The 19,469-nt window shown below is 39.3% G+C and overlaps 1 protein-coding gene across 3 annotated transcripts in view; it reads left to right on the forward strand.

The window, feature by feature from the left end:
- CRYBG1 (crystallin beta-gamma domain containing 1) overlaps positions 1–19,469 on the forward strand; it is a 211,301-nt gene that overhangs the window by 167,843 nt on the left and 23,989 nt on the right. For all 3 annotated transcript variants that reach the window (XM_047418270.1, NM_001371242.2, NM_001624.4), the window contains 6 exons: positions 1,617–1,756; positions 10,844–10,970; positions 13,027–13,062; positions 14,881–15,038; positions 16,012–16,138; positions 16,229–16,374. In XM_047418270.1, the coding sequence (XP_047274226.1) occupies positions 1,617–1,756; positions 10,844–10,970; positions 13,027–13,062; positions 14,881–15,038; positions 16,012–16,138; positions 16,229–16,374 (734 nt within the window). The remainder of the gene's footprint in view (positions 1–1,616; positions 1,757–10,843; positions 10,971–13,026; positions 13,063–14,880; positions 15,039–16,011; positions 16,139–16,228; positions 16,375–19,469) is intronic.

Consider the following 19,469-nt stretch of genomic DNA (forward strand, 5'->3'; position numbering starts at 1 on the left):
CCTTTTTTTCTCTTTATACCACTTTCCTGAAAATCACACTCCCCTTGGTAACATCTTTGTGATTGGCAACTGGGGAAGGTATCAGAATCTGGTGGGGTGAGGATTTGGGTGCATTCAGGAAGATGGGGAAGGGAAACGAGATCTCTTGTTTTGTCTGATAATAGCAGACTTACTGTAGCAAATGCTTTTCATGTTACCACAGGTTTAGGGTTTAGCTGAATATCATATTCCATTGAAATGATACATTATTTATTGTTTAGTACATAAATGAGGTACCATTATTTATTTATTATTTCTTCTTTCAGTGAATCTTAAGGTTGTTTCTAGTTTTTTACTATTATAAGTAATGCCACGAGAATGTTTTTGTGCATTTAATAATTTATAATTTTCTTTTTTTTTTTTTTGAGACAGTCTTGCTCTGTCGCCCAGGCTGGAGTGCAGTGGTGCAATCTCAGCTCACTGCAACTTCTGCCTCCCAGGGGTTCAAGTGATCCTCCTGCCTCAGCCTCCAGAGTAGCTGGGATTACAGGCACATGCCACAACACCTGGCTAATTTTTGTGTTTTTAGTAGAGACGGGGTTTTGCCATATTGGCCAGGCTGCTCTCGAACGCCTGACCTCAGGTGATCTGCCCGCCTAGGCCTCCCAAAGGGCTGAGATTACAGGCATGAGCCACTGTGCCCGGCCAGTAATTTATAATTTTCTAATTTGTTTCCTTGGGGTACATTTTTCTGAATGGTGTCATGTTAAAGGGCTATGATATGTCATGGCTCCCAGTGTGTCATGGATTATATTTTCTTCACAGATCGTGTGCATGGTTTCTTGAAACATAAAACATAAGTCACAGCGTATATTTTCAAGGTTACCTTTTTAGCTCATTAGAGTTGTTCCTTTTGATAATATTTGAAAAGCCTCATCTGAGCTTATTCAAGTGTTAATATTTCTTCTGTCACTCAGTTCACCCAACTCAGCTGCATAGATGAGTTTCAATAAATATTCCATTAACGCTTAGGCACTGGACCAGAAGAGGCCTTTTGAAGACTGTTTGGACCACAGATATGCGGGGCATGGAACAATGACCAAAGTACAGAGATTTGTAAATCACTATGAATGTGTGCTTTTGCTTTTACGACTTAGATCAAACCAATATCATAGAGGTTTACTCAGTCAAGGAGAGTTACCACAAAGCAACAGAGGGCTTATGGACACAAAACAGTGGCTGAGGAAGACTCCAAGAGCAGCCATTCTACAGACTAGAGTCTCTGTGCTTGGATAATTATATCAGAGCAAAGGAACCAAAACCCCAGACCAAAGAGGACCAAGTGAGGATGAGAAAAAGAAATATATTCCAAAACTCAAATAAAATACATTTCTGATGATCTTTGCTTGAATGCAACACTGAGTTATATAACTAAAGCAAGTGTGTCTGCCCCGAAATAGGTGTATTATTAATTCATGGATGAAAACAGGAAAGGGCTAAAATGGCAGGTGCTCTGTGAAATGTGTTTGTAAATTTAAAGCTCATTTTGATTAGTTGTAAGAAGAAGAAGAATGAGCTTACTAGAGAGTGAAATACATGGTGCAATTCTTACTATCTATGCATCTATATTTTTTCAGGATTACAGAGTTAGTCACATTGACTTATTTACTGAACCAGAAGGGTTAGGAATCCTAAGTTCCTACTTTGATGATACTGAAGAAATGCAGGGATTTGGTGTAATGCAGAAGACTTGTTCCATGAAAGTACATTGGGGCACGTAAGTATTTTTTTTTCAAACAAATTTTAATGAAGTTTTTTTGTGAGTGTAGTACTGGAAAAAGAGGACTTAAGATACTCTGACTCTAATTTGTCATCCTGTTAAGTAATTATTAACTGTAAGGTATATTTTTATAAGGCACGTAAAATTCTGATTCTTTTGCACCTATGTTATGATTCATCTGTCTTAAAAACAGTATCGATTTATTATAGGAAATGGGGGGGGATTGAATTTTTTAATGTAAGGCTTTCCTTGTCACAGAGAAATCTGATTTATTCAAAGCTGAGTAGCAGATTATATTTTCATGGTGATTCAGAGGAGGTAATTCAAAGCACATGCCCCTGATATTTCTGGGGGGGGATGGAAGCCAACACACATGGTACTTCCTTGAATATTTTCACACAATGCTGGTTCAAAGCCCCTAGGAGGTTGGTTTCACAAATCACAGGAAACAGCAAGAATATTTTGAAGGAAATGGGAATACCTCAGATAGGGGAGAAATGAGGATAGAAAGTATAGACTGCAATACTGAAGAATGTGGTCTCCAAAGTGAAGCACAAAGCCCCAAGGCATGTGAAAGACATTCACTGAGATGCAGGAAAAAACACTAAAGCTTCTTTCTATTTGATTAAAGTCTCCACCTCTTAAGATTTTATTTTTGTATATGTTTTCTAATATGCATAATGTATTAGTTCAGTGGTAATGTATATAATTTATAAATATTCATATATTCAGAGAATGCTCAAATGTTTTTACTAATGGTTTATACAGTCAAAAAAGTTTACAGCCTGTCCCTAAAGTGGTATGGAGTATCTCTGCAGTGAACAATAAGGCACTCCTTAATCATGCTTTTTGCATTCTATTTATTACTAAAAGCCTTGGTTTGCCATTGTTCATATCTTAGAAAAATAATTTGCTTGTGTAAAAGGTAGGAATAGGATAAATTACAGATCATAGAATCTGATTTTTGATCCTCAGAAATGAGAAACTAAAAACTTCTAGGCAACTTAACAGGAAGTGTGGCTATTGAGAATTGGTAGCAGCTATCCTTGAATAGTTGGAAGGTGGTCATATAGAAGAGATATTAGACTTGCTCTCTGTTATTCCATAGGAGGTCCCAGGAAAAACCAGTAGAAATTAGAGAGATGGATTTTGACTTGACCCAGGGAAGAACTTTCTGATGGTTAATACAGTTAAAATGGAAGTGGGCTGCCTTGTTAGGTAAAGAGTTTCTCATCGCAGGGAGTACTCAGGTAGAGGATGGACAAGAATTTATCCAGAGCTTTGTAGGGAAAGGAAAGTATGAGTTAGGTACCTCCTTTACGACAGTTTGTTCATTTATTTATTTACTTTTAACATTTTGAAATATAAGACACCTAGAAAAAAGTTCACAGAAGGTAAATGTACACTTAAACAAATAAAGTGAGCACCCAAGTAGACACCACTTGAGCCAAGAACTGGAACATTACCAGCACCCCAGAAGCCCGATGGTATTCTTTCCCTATGGCAGCCCGTCTCAGAAAACAACCTTCCTCTCCCAGAAGAGTGAGAAAATAACAAGGGAGGACTATAGTGATGGTTCGTCAATATACAAAGGTGTAGTTACTAGGGCAGAATTTGGGGTGTAGAGAACAATATTAATTTAAATATCTCCTCTTGATGTATAAAGTTATTTTCCAAGGATAGTATACATTTTACTGCTTTTTAAATTATTTTTAATTGACACATAATAATTGCACATATTTATGGGGTACAATGTGAGGTTTTGATACCTGTATACATTGCATAATGATCAAATCAGGGAAGTTAGCAAATCCATCACCTCAAACACGTATTATTTCTTTGTGGTAAGATCATTCAGAATCCTCTCTTCTAGCTATTTTGAAATATAAAATATATTATTGTTAATCATAGTTACCCTACTGTGGAATAGAACACCAGAACTTATTCTATTATATATTTTTACCACATTTTCTTTATTCATTCATCTGTTGATGGACACTCAGGCTGATTCTGTATCTTGGCTATTACAAATAGCACTGCAAGAAACATGCAAGTGCGGGTATCCTTTGACATACTTGATTTCATTTCCTTTGGATATATACTCAGTAGTGAGATTGCAAGATCACACAGGAGTTCTATTTTTAATTTTTTGAGGAGCCTCTATACTGTTTTCCATAATGGCTGTGCTAATTTATATTCCCACCAATAGTGTGGAAGAGTTCCCTTTGCTCCACATCCTCACCAATACTTGTTATATTGTGTCTTTTTGATAATAGCCTTTCTAACTGGAGTGAGGTGGTATCTCATTGTGGTTTTGATTTGCATTTCCCTGATCTTGAGTGATGTTGAACATTTTTTCATATACCTCTTGGCCATTTGTATATCTTCTTTAAATAAATGTACTGTTTTTTGTGTACATTTTGAGTTATATCATTTGGTACCCCGTAGTCCTTGAAAGGCTCTGAAATTTTTAAAGGTGGTTAGTTTAGAAGTAGAAATTAGGAAAGGCTTTTATTTCCTCTGCATACCCTGTCTAAATATGACAAGAAATTGGGACTTTAACAAATATAAACCCAAAAGAGTGTCTATGAGATGTATTAAATATATTCAGTAAATCTGTTAATCAAGCATCTACCATGTGCCAGGTGCTTTTCTAGTCACTGGGAATACAGCAGTGAAGACATAAAATGATGTCCCCATTCTCCTGGAGCTGTCAGTCTAGCAGGAATAAACAACACAAATACATATATAATGTGTCAGATGGCAAAGGCTACAAGAAACATAAATTACAGAGGGGCAGGCATGTTGCTATTTTAGATAGGGTAGCTAGTAAAGGACTCTGGTGACATTTTAAGGAGGGACCGGCAGGAAGTGAGGGAGTCTGCCCTGGAGCTAGCTGAGGGAAGAGGGGCAGGGAGCCTGTCCCAGAGAGGAAGCACACCATTTGCAAAAGCCCTTCTGGGCATGCTTGGGCAATAGCTAAGAGGCCAAGGCGGCTGAAGCTGAGTGAAGTAGGAGGATAGGGATAAGACAGGGCTCAGGTCACATCTGGCCTTTCACGCCTTGGGGAGGAGGATTTAGATTTACTCTACGTGGCATGGAGAATCATTGGCGAATTTTTATCTAACTTGTGTTATTAATAGAAGGATCAGCCTGTCTGTTCGTATAGAAAATAGTCTGTAAAGAGGCAAAGGTGGAAGCCAAGAAACCACGTAGGATGCACTTGCAATCATACAGCCAAGAAGAGATGGTGGCTTAGACGTGCGATGGTGGTGGTGGGAAATGGTCAGATCTTGGATGCATTTTGAAGGTAGAACTAACAGCATTTCTGACAGATTGTGTGTGGGGTATGAGGGGCCAAGACATGCCCAGGGTTTGGAACCCCAACATTTATTGAGACGAAAAAGACTTGGAGGAGCAGGATAGGAGAGAGAGTGAGATTCAGGAGCTCAGTTTTGGACAGGTTAAGGCTGAGATGCCAACTGCAAATTCAAGTAAGTGGGCAAGAAGGTGACTATGTGAGGCTGGAGTTCAGGGGAGAGGCTGGAGGCATAAATTTAGGAGTCACTGGCAAAGAGAATGTATTTAAACCAGGCACAGGACACAGTCCCAAAGGGGAGTGGGTGTAGTTAAGGGAAGAGAAGGCACTTTTGTATTTAGAGACTGGGAAGAAAAGTGGGAATCTAAGCAAAAGAAAATGCCTTCATCTCTTGCTGCCTTTAATTTTTTTACATGAAAGAAGTCTATACACTTTTTTTTAAAGAATTGGTGTCAGGTTGAGAAACACCACTTTCCTTAGAAAAGAATGAAAAAGGCATCTGTTATCATATTTTAATCTCAGTGTCTGGAAGGTGCCATGACTCAGGCTTGGCTATGTTGAAGCACATTAATCTACCTTAAATGATATTTCTTACCTTTGCAGTAAGTTTAGCTTTGCCTCCTGGGTGGTAGTTACCAGCCTGTCACAGCTTACAATTTATGACAGGTTTGTGTCATGGTGAGCATCTTCTTTTCTGGCTGTTCATTTCTGTTGAACACTGCCTCAGATGTTAATTCAAAGTTTGGGCTCGTTGAACTTGGTTGGTGAGCTTAGACACCAGGTCATTAGTGCTTTTATAGATCTCAAAGGAAAGTCTCAAGGGGTTGAGAAGATGTCACTGATAGTAAGTACTGAAGCTCATTTTGCTTCTGTTGATGCACTGGTTCCCCTGAACTGGGATAAGAAGTCTTTGCTGTAGAGGGAACTCCTTAAGAATCCATTAGGTGATTTATTCCAGGGCCCATTCACTCTAGATTAAGCTCTTCTACTCATACACAAAATAAGGGTGTTACTTGTCTGGTCAAATTCTTGTTTGAGGAAATGAGTGATTTCTAACTAAACTTGCCTTTCAGATTCTGTTGAGAGTAATTTGTTTTTAAATCTTTCTTTTAAGCAGCTGGCTAATCCTGGCACCCATCCTCCCAGAGGTGAAAGCATATTGGGTTTTTTGGGGGCGGGGTGTGTGTAGGGGTGGAAGTGGGGGGTGGTATATTTATGACGAACAAAAGCAAAGAAGTTTAGAACTTCAAAGGGAGTATAAAGATGATCTGGCCCAACACCATCATTTGACTGAGGAAGACAAGCTTTGGTCACTTTCTCCAGACTAGGGTTAGCTGTTAGCAGAATGTGTACTAGAATGCAGGTGTTCTAAAGTCAAGGGACTTCTTTTTTAATTGACAAACATTATTTGATCATTTGTACTGTGTAATATTTGACATATACAGAATAATATATGTATATATGTGAACTATGAAGCCCAATAATAAAACAATCCCCCGTGGACCCACCATCCAACTTACAACCTAGACCATTACCAACATTGCTGCCCACCGTGGTTACACATGTAACCACACTCCTAAGATTACTCATATTGATGGGTACATCTCTATGTATTTTTTTCATTGCTGTGTAATAGTCACTGTATATTTCATTGTGGAATATACCATATCAGAGCCCAATTTTTTATTATAAAAGTTTTCAAACATACAGAAAAGTAGGAAGAATAGTTCAGTGAACACCAATGTACCATTCACTTTGACCCAATAATTGTTATCATTTTACCATATTTGTGTTATTTTTCTGAGCACTTCAATGTACATTGGAGATATCATGACCCTTCATTCCACATAGGATTCAGCCTGACTCTCTTTCTAATGGTATTCCCCTGCATAAGTATCATTATTACACTTGAGAAAATTCACAAAGTGTCCATGATAATATCTGTTCAATAGTCCATCACCAAATTTTCCCAATTGCTTCAGGAATGTCTCTTATAGATTTGCATTTTCAAATCAGGATCCAATCAAGGTTCACATAAATGCGTTTGATTGTTCTGTCTCTTTTAAGTCTCTTTTTAAAGATCTCTAAAATACCCCATCTTTGTTTCCCAAGCCACTAACTTTTTTTTTTTTTTTTTTTTTTTTTTTTTTTTTTTTTTGAGACGGAGTCTCGCTCTGTCGCCCAGGCCGGACTGCGGACTGCAGTGGCGCAATCTCGGCTCACTGCAAGCTCCGCTTCCCGGGTTCACGCCATTCTCCTGCCTCAGCCTCCCGAGTAGCTGGGACTACAGGCGCCCGCCACCGCGCCCGGCTAATTTTTTGTATTTTTAGTAGAGACGGGGTTTCACCTTGTTAGCCAGGATGGTCTCGATCTCCTGACCTCATGATCCACCCGCCTCGGCCTCCCAAAGTGCTGGGATTACAGGCGTGAGCCACTAACTTTTAAAAAGATTTAGGCCAGCTGTCTTAGAGAGTGTGCCACATTCTAGATTTGTCTGAGTGTTCCCTCATGCTACTATTTAGCATGTTCTTCTGTTGCCCGAATTTCCTATCTACTAGGGCTTAGGTCTTAAGGTATGGTTAGGTTCAGGCCAAACAGTTTTGGCACGGATACTTCATATAGATAGTGCCATATATTTATGTTGTATCACAGCAGGTGGCATGTGCTAACTAGCTTGCCCTTTAGCAATACCAAGTTTGATTGCTTGGTTAAAGTGGTGCCTCCTCCATCTTTCCATTGTAAAGGTTCATTTTCCCCTTTGACATTCATAGCCCCCTCTCTTGTGAATAACCTCAAAGTCAGTACCTTCATATTTAATTTTTCAAGTATCCAGTTGGTTTCTGTGAATGGCCAATATTCATGTACAGCCATGTCTAGGGAACACAACTTAAGATCCATCTGGAAGTGCTGTTTTTGTTTAAGAGCAAGTGAACAAGATAAGACTGATTTTTCTTGTGTGACTCAAAGGGTATTTCTAAAAGAGTAATTGGACAAATATTTTAAATAAACATATAGATGGCCATTGTTATTACTTTAACAATATTCATTTGTAGGTATACATTTGTTTGTTTAAAAAATAAGCTTGGGCTTTATAATCATACTGTTTGTTAAGTACGACAATAAAGTTGTACTTTTTAATCTATATTGGCGAAAGCTTATGACCCAAGTACATGGGAAAATAAAAGATTACCTTTAGAAACTGAAATAACCCTGCCTGGAGATAGTTTCCCCCTCTCCTGATGGCCTCATAAATAATGTATCTTATTGGAACAGAATTTAGAAAAAGTGAATCATACTCTGCATATGAGTTTTCAAATTCAAAGTCCACCCAGCATTAATAAATGTCTGTTTGAATTACCCAGCAGGCCTTCAGCACTCATTTACTAAGGGAGAACTTTCAGAACAGCAGTCTTTTCAAATGCATTCATTCATGTTTTCGGTTTTTTCACAAATTCCCCTCTACCCAGAATGACTTTCCTTCCATGAATGTTATGCAACTAAACCACATGCTTCAACAGAAGTGAAATGTTTAGTATTAGATGAATAAATCCCCTCTGAACTCAAGCTATAGAAGGAAAGACTTAATGAAAAGGGTACTTCGGTAAGAATCATTTCAAAATCTCAGATCGCTTGCTCGTGAGCCGTACATTCAGTTTTTGAAAAATTAAACCTGTTCACTTGTAAAGAAGTCAGACTTGGGACCTGCTTGGTTAGCCTAATACCATAATGTGTTACAGAACTGCCATTATTTTGTTAGAGAACAAAATCCATGGGTACTGTGCCTGTGATAGCTTTGAGCTCCAAAATACATGTAACGTATCCTTGGCTGTCATGCTTTAAACATAAGGAAGTGTAAAGTACCCTATTCTTAGCGTCTGTTTTCTTGTGGTTTAGAAGCATTACAGTAGTATTTAAAAGATAAGCCTCTTTTTTTCCTTAAGGTAACTTTTTTTGAAGCATAACATTTGTACAAAAAGGTACATAAACCCTAAATATATAAGCTGAGTGAATTTTCACAAAGTGAATACACAAGCGCAGTCACCATTCAGATCAAGAAAAAGAACATTCCCAGCATCGCAGAAACCCGTTTCTTTCATGCGTCCTCACGCCCTCTTCCCCAGGAACCATCATCCTGACTTCTAACACTGTAGTTCTGACCTCCTACCCATATCCCACACCTGGCCTCCCAACATTCTTTCATGTGTGTGTTGTCAAATCATCAGTAGGAGCCTGGTTGTAAATCTCTGTATAATTAGAGAGTCTAGAGAAGTTACCAGTTTATCCAGCGGAATCTTCACAAAAACCACCGCCAAAAATGTGCCTTGGGCCAAAATTGGGAAGAAGAAAAAAGCAAAGAGGGAGGGGTCAGACCCGTTTTGTTGGTAAAAGATTTCATTTACAGCCACTCTCTTCTTGGCATGGTGTTCTGGGGAACACAACATGGTGGAGTACCACGGCTAAAACATTTTAGCAAAACTAACCGAATTGATGAGTGTAAGTGATCACTAAGAAGTCTATGTTTGTTTATGAAGCAGGTACATTAACCCCTCTCTTATAGAAAAGTCACTTCTTCAGCATCCTCACCTTCTCAGAACCCTTCCCAGGAACGAAGATGTTTACAAGAAGACCTTGTAAAGTTTAGAGACAGGGCTAGTAGGCATGGTTTTCTGGTTTCCTGATTTCTGGCACATTAGAGGAGGGTGGGGCTGCTGGTTCCCCAACTGAAGCAGAAGTGACAGCTGACAAGCTGATAGAAGGGTGTGGTATTGAAAAGCCATAACAATCAGAACCAAGAACTCAAAAAGCTTTGTGGCCTGGGAACAAGCAGCCCCACAGAACTTCAGAGCCCCTGAGGACACCACTGTGCATTAAATAATGCTCACAGTGATGATCCTGAGTAACTGTGAAAAGAGTAAACTGTGTTCAATGCACTTCCTGCAATGAGAAAAATTGCCATCACAAAAATGATTAGGGCTGGGCATGGTGGCTCACACCTGTAATCCCAGCACCTTTGGGAGGCCAAGGCGGGCGGATCACCTGAGGCCAGGAGTTTGAGACCAGCCTGGCCAATATGGTGAGACCCCCTCTACTAAAAAAAAAATGCAAAACTTAGTCGGATGTGGTGGTGTGTGCCTGTACTCCCAGCTACTTGGAAGGCTGAGGCAGTAGAATCACTTGAACCAGGAGGCAGAGGTTGCAGTGAGCTGAGAGCAAGCCACTGTACTCCAGCCTGGGTGACAGAACAAGACTCCGTCAAAAAAAAAAAAAATTGATTAGGAACCTGGTTCTGGAATCGGCTTGAATCATTCCAGCCTTTCATACTTATAGCTGTGTGGCCTTGGGCAACTTACTTAACTTTATCTATAAAATGGGGACAATAGCTTCTCTTCCTCATAGCATGGTTGTGAGGATTAGATGAAGTTCTCAGTGGCATTCCTTGTAAGCTCTAGGGAGATGTTAGCTGTTACTAATGTTTGGCACCATGACAAATGATTAGATGGAACTTTGGAGCAATTAATAATACAAATTAAAATAAGGGGACAAAGCCAGCCAAGGAGAAAAGTAAAAGATCAAGAATAGGGGCATATAATGGCTTTATTTTTCCTTGAGTCTAGTGTGATTCTAACACCTGAGTCCAACCATTCATTATGTAGGTCCGTATCCTCTCCTGTTCTTTTCCTCTCATCCTGGGTACCAGACAGAAGGAAAAACTGAAACAAATGATGAGTCGGCTCCCTTTCTTTCCTTCCATGGTGGCTATTTAGGTGGCTGATTTATGAAGAACCTGGATTTCAGGGTGTTCCTTTCATCCTGGAACCTGGTGAATACCCTGACTTGTCCTTCTGGGATACAGAAGAAGCGTACATTGGATCCATGCGGCCTCTGAAAATGGTAAAAATGAAATCCAAATGTCCTTGTGGTGATTCTTTGTCAGCTTGACGTGGTAATTCACAGGGTGTGACTTTGAAGCAATAAAGCTGACTTTTAAGAAACAAATTTGTAGTAGATTGGACCTATTGCTCAATAGAAATCATGGAAAGAATAACTTGCTAGATGCTATAGATTAAAAAAAAAAAAAAAAAGGCAGGTAAGACTATGTCCTTTGTCTTTAAGGCATTCTCAGCCCTGCAGAGCTGCAGATGGGTGCGCAAAGCTTCAGCGCAGTGTAGGTTTAACAAGTGAGGAAAGTGAAGAATTAAACATTGGTGGAAAAACAGGACAAAGATACATACAATTCCAAGTTGTGGGTGATGTGACAGAAAAGGGATAATTAGGAAAGCTTCATGCTAAATTAAATTCAGTCTTAAAAAATTAGCAGGATGATTTTTTAAATGGAGCTGTCGGTGAATGCACTGTGTGAGCTAGGGTGCAGCCTGAGAGAGAGCAGGGCACGCTGAGGACCGGCTCGGCTGCCGTGACACGAGTGGGTGGTGTCTTGGGGGTCTCTGGGGCTGGACCAGATGAGTGTTGTCCTCCTGAGTATCTGCTGTGGAAGCTTTGTGCTTCCTCTCCCTTGTCCCAGTGTCTTGCTTTGTTCTTTGTTTCTTCCGCTAGACTGTCAGCTTTGGGAGGAAGCAGGCCGCATCTGTCTTGTCCCCAGTGTTGAGCGCAGTGTGTGCTGCAGCATGGAAGTTGTTCCCTAAATACCCACAGTGAGATGAGGCTCCCATTACAAACATGTTTTTGAAGCTGCACTTCGCAGTTGTCTTCTGAGACAGTTTGAGACAAATTAGAAAGTTAGGAAGACAATTTTTTTAATGTTAATTTTACCCATCCTTCCAAAGTATTTGGTTTAATTATCTGTATGTTTGCTGGTCTTAATGCAAATGATTTGGGCTTTTGTTTCTAAAATTAAACTCACTTTCAAAGAACAAAGTTTTGTTAGTTTTGTGAATGTATGAAAGAATTCATCCAGGTTTTAGGAGCAGTTTGTAATGATGATGAAAAGTCTCCAAAGTCTATGGTGTTCAAACAGGATTACTTTTGAAAAGGTCATGTGCTTAGTTGTATAATCTCTGGTTTGCTGATAATATCAGCCACATTCCTTTTTCCTTTTTTTTTTTGCTTGTTTTTTCATAAAAGTTAAGGAAACCAACACATTCTTTTATAATTATAGTTCATTTGGTGCCTTTGAGCATCCTTGGTGGTACTTTTTTTTAAAAAGCTATTAAAGATATATTAATTTTAAAAAAATCCAACTTTCCCATTGCTGATTTAAACTCTTGAACTATTTAATATTTTTGTGCAATATCTTTTTAATGTAATACCATTTCTCTGATTTTAGTGAGTTTTTTTGTTTTTAAAAAGCTTTCTATTTTATAACAACCCCTCATAGACTCATCCTTTGGGATGTTTTAAATTTTATTTAACAGTTTATCTAATTATTCCATGAGTCCCCCAGATCTTATTATGTGAACTTCAACACATAATAGTTTCGTAAGCCCTGGTTGCAAAATCAAATACCTTCAGGGGCCAGGCAGCAAATACAAATGGCTGAGAGTTAAACCGAAGGGAATGGTAGAGACGGCAACCCCGGGCCTGTGCCCAGCTGAAGGATGAACTGAGGGCAGGATCGTTAAATGCAGAAGCCGAAGACAGTGGCCTGGGAGAATCTGGGTCCAGAGATGTCAGCTCTTGGAACTGCTTTTTCAAGAGAAGTATGGATTTTTATGATAAATTTTCCAAGTTAAAAAAACTTGCTAGGTCAAAAAACACTCCTACAACGCAGATCAGCTTATAGACTGCTTGTGCGAGGCTCCGTTCTAGCCTGCCTTCCTCGTGTCTTCATCTGTATTGTTGGTAATTTTAGAACTATCTCACGTAAGTTAAAACAAACCAGAACATAGTCACACTGAAATTCAATGTTTTACTGTAAACTGCTATGGCTAATATAAAATGGTAATGTATCAGTGAAAAACTATTTTTCTTACTATGTTGTTTTTTTCAGGGTGGCCGTAAAGTTGAATTCCCTACAGATCCAAAGGTAAAAATATATATGTATTTTTGTATGTATGTATATGTAATTATTTAAACATATACACATATATATGTACTTAATGTTATTCCCACTCCATCTCTATGAAGATATTGCTTATGTGACTTCTCATATTAAACCTCTGTCACACATAAATGCAGCCAAAGGAAGTTGCCAACTTACACTTGCCATCCTTCAGGGTGGAAGATGATGCTAATGGCACTGGTTATCACTAAGAGTACATTTAGCCATGGCTCAGAAGGGTCATTGTTATATTGAGTTAACAATTTGCAGTTGTATTTACTAATTGCAGGGCTTCTTGCTGCTTGCCAATTAGCCAGGAAAAAACTTTTTTAAGACAAACTTTCCCTACTCCAAAATACCCTTTCTGCTATTCCCAATTCCCACATCGATGCCACACACTATAACTTTTCAATTTTCAATTTTAACACTACTTTAGAATCCTCTGGTTCCTTCTATGTGGTTCTAAATATCAGTTTTATATATACATATATATGTGTGTGTGTATATATTTATTTTATATATATATGTATATAAATTATTTTAAAACTGTTTGGAACCATGGCTTTGGGCTATACCACATTAGGGAAAAAAAAAAGCCAGATTTTTTTTTTTCTTTTTACTATCTTATCAGATGCCATTATTTAGGGTTTTTTTTTTTTTTGTGGAGACCAGGCCTTGCTCTGTCACCCAGGCTGGTATACAGTGGCACCATCACGGCTCACTGAAGCCTCGATTTCTCCAGCTCAAGCCATCCTCTTGCCTCAGCCTCCTGAATAGCTGGGACTATAGGCATGTACCACTACACCCAACTTTTTTTCTTTTTAGCAGAGATGAGGTTTCACCATATTGCCCAGGTTGGTCTCAAACTCCTGAGCTCAAGTGATCCTCCTGCCTTGGCCTCCCAAAGTGCTGGAATTACAGGTGTGAGCCACTGTGCCTGGCCTAGTTAATTTTTTAAAATATGATTAGAACATTTTATTTTATTTTATTTTATTTTATTTTATTTTATTTTATTTTATTTTATTTTATTTTGAGACAAGAGTTTCACTCTGTCACCCAGGTTGGAGTGCAGTGACGTGATCTCAGCTCACTTAACCCTCTGCCTCCTGAGTTCAAGCGGTTCTGCCTCAGCCTCCTGCGTAGCTGAGATTACAGGTGTGCATCACTATGCCCAGCTAATTTTTGTATTTTTAGCAGAGATGGGGTTTCACCATATTGCCCAGGTTGGTCTCAAACTCCTGAGCTCAAGTGATCCTCCTGCCTTGGCCTCCCAAAGTGCTGGAATTACAGGTGTGAGCCACTGTGCCTGGCCTAGTTAATTTTTTAAAATATGATTAGAACATTTTATTTTATTTTATTTTATTTTATTTATTTTAATTAAATTTAATTTTATTTTATTTTATTTATTTTATTGAGACAAGAGTTTCACTCTGTCACCCAGGCTGGAGTGCAGTGACGTGATCTCGGCTCACTTAACCCTCTGCCTCCTGAGTTCAAGCGGTTCTGCCTCAGCCTCCTGTGTAGCTGAGATTACAGGTGTGCATCACTATGCCCAGCTAATTTTTGTATTTTTAGCAGAGACGGGGTTTCACCATATTGGCCAGGCTGGTCTCGAACTCCTGACCTCAAGTGATCCACCTACCTCAGCCTCGCAAAGTGCTGGGATAACAGGCGTGAGCCACCGCGCCCAGTCAGAAAATTTTAATTTGTGTGTCAGGACTTAGTGATATTAAATGACTGATTTAATGTTAAGCTGTTGGGATACTTCTTACAGATTACTGGTATATCTCATTTCTATTGTAGGTAGTTGTTTATGAAAAGCCTTTCTTTGAAGGAAAATGTGTGGAACTAGAAACAGGAATGTGTAGTTTTGTCATGGAGGGAGGTGAAACAGAAGAGGCGACTGGAGACGATCATTTGCCGTTTACGTCAGTGGGGTCTATGAAAGTTCTAAGAGGCATGTAAGTACATGGGTGACTTGTTAGGATTTCTTTTTTTTCCGAAATATTAAGTAATAAATGTGCCCTTTCCCCCCTAAAAACAACATTCCTGATTCTATAGTATGGTGAATTTTGACAGTTATATCCACATTCTCCTCAGCCTATAGTGACTGGATTTAAGAAAGCAGTTTGAGGCTGGGTGTGGTGGCTCACACCTGTAATCCCAACACTTTGGGAGGCCAAGGCGGGCGGATCACCTGAGGTCAGGAGTTCAAGACCAGCCTGACCAACATGGGGAAACCCCATGTCTACTAAAAAATACAAAATTAGCTGAGCGTGGTGTCACATGCCTGTGATCCCAGCTACTTGGGAGGCTGAGGCAGGAGAATCGCTTGAACTCAGGAGGCAAAGGCTGCGGTGAGCCAAGATCGCACCATTGCACTCCAGCCTGGGCAACAAGAGCGAAACTCTGTCAAGGAAGGCTGATACATTGGCCTGTTCAAGTTGATCAAATCTACAACCTTGCTTATTAGAATTATGCTCCAAGCTATTGAACAGTTTGATAGTTCGCTTTCTGATTTTTATATTTTTGCATCTTATAGATCTTGCACATTTCCCATAGAAGTGCACACTAAAGTTGCTCTTGTAAATCGCTAACTATTCATAATATTTTTGTTACTATCTGAAGTGAGTTTATCCAGTTTTGCTTGCTGAGGTTCTTTTGAGTCAGCCCTGATTAAACACACACACATACACACCACTCACACACACGCTCCCCTTCCCTTTTTTATACAACTCTGATATATGTCTCTTAGGTTATTTTCTTGGGGCCATTCTGTTATTCTCCTAAATTTTAAAGAATTCCAATGATAATAAAGCAGAAGGTCATGTCTAGCTTTATAACTATTTGTATTTTTCAATGAAATTGATATGTACCTTGAAAAAATGTTAACATGTCTGGAAATGACTACTCCTCGTGTTCTTTATGTTGCAGTTGGGTTGCATATGAGAAACCTGGATTTACCGGTCATCAGTATTTGCTAGAAGAAGGAGAATACAGGGACTGGAAAGCCTGGGGAGGTTACAATGGAGAGCTTCAGTCTTTACGACCTATATTAGGTGTAAGTAAAGGACAAGCTAATGGCTAATACTTGGTCTTCTTTGGATAATAAATGGCTAGCCTTTGAATTTTGAATTTTTTTTCTCAATAGGATTTTTCAAATGCTCACATGATAATGTACAGTGAAAAAAACTTTGGATCCAAAGGTTCCAGTATTGATGTATTGGGAATTGTTGCTAATTTAAAGGAGACTGGATATGGAGTGAAGACACAGTCTATTAATGTACTGAGTGGAGTGTAAGTGAAATAATCCAGTTGGAATTTTAAACATGCGTTTTACCTTGGTTTGTTTTAAACTGGTAAGAGTCTATCACAGAGTAGGCATTCAATACACAAATATCTCAACAGCTTAACATTAAATCAGTCATTTAATAGTTGCTGTCATGATATTTTCGTTAACTCTCTTTAAAAATCGTTCTCATACCATCTCTTCTTTTTACGTTTGGGGTAGGCTTTGGGTATCATGATAGAAATCTACAGATCTGTTTCCCTTGTCATTCTGCACAGAAAGATAGTGAATTTTTTAAATGATGGAGATCAAATAATAATAATAGTAATCTAACATAAACCTGAGGCTGGGTCAAAGTCCCAGTAGATTTTCCTGTGGTCCTACACCTGTTCCAGTATATTTCTTCACTATTAGTTTGACATAAAAATAATTGTTCTATGTACGTGGAGTTAGCAGTTGACTGTTTTATTAGTGGTGAAGCAAGTTTTTATTGAAAGATGTTTAGTCAAGATTCTTTGGGATGAAGTGACTGCAAGCCAAGCTAAATTGGCTCAAGGGATTAAAATGGAACTTACTGGCTTAAGTAACTAAAAAGTCCTGGAGAAGATTTTGCTTCAGGCATGCCTAGATGCAGCGGATCAAACACTATCAGAACTTAGTCTCTGTGTCTTGACTGGGCTTTTTTCTGTGTTAACTTGACTTTAGGTAGGCCTTTTGCATTTGGTGGCCTGTGGCCACATTCAGCTTTTGTTCTCCTAACTCTTTTTTTTTGAGGCAGAGTTTCACTCTGCCACCCAGGCTGGAGTGCAGTGGCAAAATCTCAGCTCACTGCAACCTCTGCCTCCTGGGCTTAAGCGATCCTCCTGCTTCAGCCTCCCAAGTAGTTGGGACCACAGATGTGTGCCACCAGGCCTGGCTAATTTTTGTATTTTTTTTTAGAGACAGGTTTTTGCCATGTTGCCCAGGCTGGTCTCAAACTCCTGAGCTCAGGTGATCCACCCGCCTTGGCCTCCCAAAGTGCTGGGATTACAGGCATGAGCCACCATGCCTGGCCCCAGCTCATTTCTTGCAGTGGAAAGAGCTTCTCTTTCTCACAAGTTCCATGTTTGACTTTGCTTTCCTAGGCTTGGGTCATGTGCACATGCCTGAACCAATCACTGTAGCCACAGAGACGGCCATGTCTGGGCTACGTGTCCATCTCCAGAGCTGAGATGTAGGGTCTATCCCATAGGAGCCACTTAGATATGAATGGGGTTGGTGGTTCCCCAGGGACATCAGAAAGAGTGGGGAGATAGATGCCAGATGGGCAAAAACAGCAGATGGCTGTTATAGGGAGTTACATAATTATTCTTGTAATCCAGGCTAATGTCTATTCTAATTTGTTATAAGTGAGAGTATTCTCAAATAGTTACATGAAATAATGTGACATTGGTTATGCTGAAAGTGTTTGGTGTTAGGTTTTTGTTGTCATAGTGACATAGACTATTTGAATCATCCTAGCCTCAACCCCATTGTATCTCATGGGGCCTCCCACAATAGCCCTGGATATTTGAAAAGTGTGTACAATGTACTAAAAGTTGATGAACATGCTTAACTTTTACTCTTAGTAAATAGAGTAAAAAAAACCTTGTTCAACAAGTTCTTGTCTAGGCCGTTGCATGTGGTGCCATTTTGGCAGAGTATCAGTGATTTCCGGGTATTCCATTCTCAGCAGGAAATGCCTACTCTTGGGTCCTATTCTGGAGCCCTAACATTTTAGAATCAGTAGCCTGTTTGCAAAAGCCAGAAGTCATCTGAAATATAAGGTACAAGTTATCTGAAATGTTGCTGGGGCTCTGCAGTATTTTAGATTGTCTTTAAAGCTAATTATTTAGGAGGAAAACATAGTGACCAACTTAGTCTGGTGAAACAGTTGTACATTTTGATACTCACCAGTTGTGTTGGTTCTATTAGTCAGAGCCTAGTCATCCACCCTGGCAGAGGAAGCAAAAGGATGCTGGGTAGAATGAATTCCCTTAGGTATTTTGTAGATGATGCTATTAACACAGGTAGAATTATTGTGCCTTGAGCCAATCTCCTTTCCTTTTTAACCCAGGCCTTGCTTACTTGAAATCAGTTCCCTTTATAAAGTGCTGCTATTATATGTTTCTATTTTTAGTCATTTCTAATTGCATTTCCTGGCTTAAGCTTCTTTTTTCTGGCTGTAGCAGTTAAGTTTTGGTAGAAGGGGGAAGTTGAAGGGAGCTACGTACACATACGTGGACACACACACACACACACACACACACCACTTCCTTTGAAATTCTTTGCATATGGAAGGGCTTTTGTATTTACCAGGGCCAGGTGCTTCCTCATATTTTGTTCGATTTGTCATTTGACAAGTATTTATTGCGGTCTGTTATGTGCAAAGCATTGTATTATGTCCTCAAAGAAGTTACGGTATTTATGTAAAACATAATTATTGCTACAAAAGAGGTACAGATTAAATGCTCTGGGAATCCACAGCAGAGAGAGATTAATTTCCAGTCTGGACACAGGGAAGGAAGACTTTGTGGAGGAGGTGGCATTGGAGTTAGGCCTGTGGGATAGGATAGGAAGGCTGAGATGAGCCAAGATGATGGAGGAGGACTACCTATTCACTTTAAATAGTTTCAAAGGAAAATTATTGTATTTTAATGGCTTTATTTTTATTGGCAATTAAGTATTTTAGCTTGGTTCTTTATTTCTTATTATGGCATGCATTGTCAGAAAAAAACTCTTCTGAAGTTCTTGTTCCATGAAAGTATCTCCCAGGAGGCTCACCATCACATGGGTAATACATCCCCTGGGCAGTAAACTCATCATTAGTCCTGAAACAGAGAACAGCCTTCAGGAAGGATGCCCATGAAACCAGCAACTGAGGTTTTTAGGAACTGCATTTGATTCTTACTGGAAATGTCGAAAGAAACTCCCTGCTTATCAGTTTCTAGTTCTATGCTATATTCTTGCTCAAATAGTGGAAACTGGGCTAGTTTTTTAAAACTAGGAGCAAAATGAAATATTTCTGGTATTCAGATGAAAACGAAAAGTGTTGTTGTTTTAAATTCTTTTTCCTTTGGCCTTC

The sequence above is a fragment of the Homo sapiens genome, chromosome 6, assembly GCF_000001405.40.
Source record: "Homo sapiens chromosome 6, GRCh38.p14 Primary Assembly".
Lineage (NCBI taxonomy): Eukaryota > Metazoa > Chordata > Mammalia > Primates > Hominidae > Homo > Homo sapiens.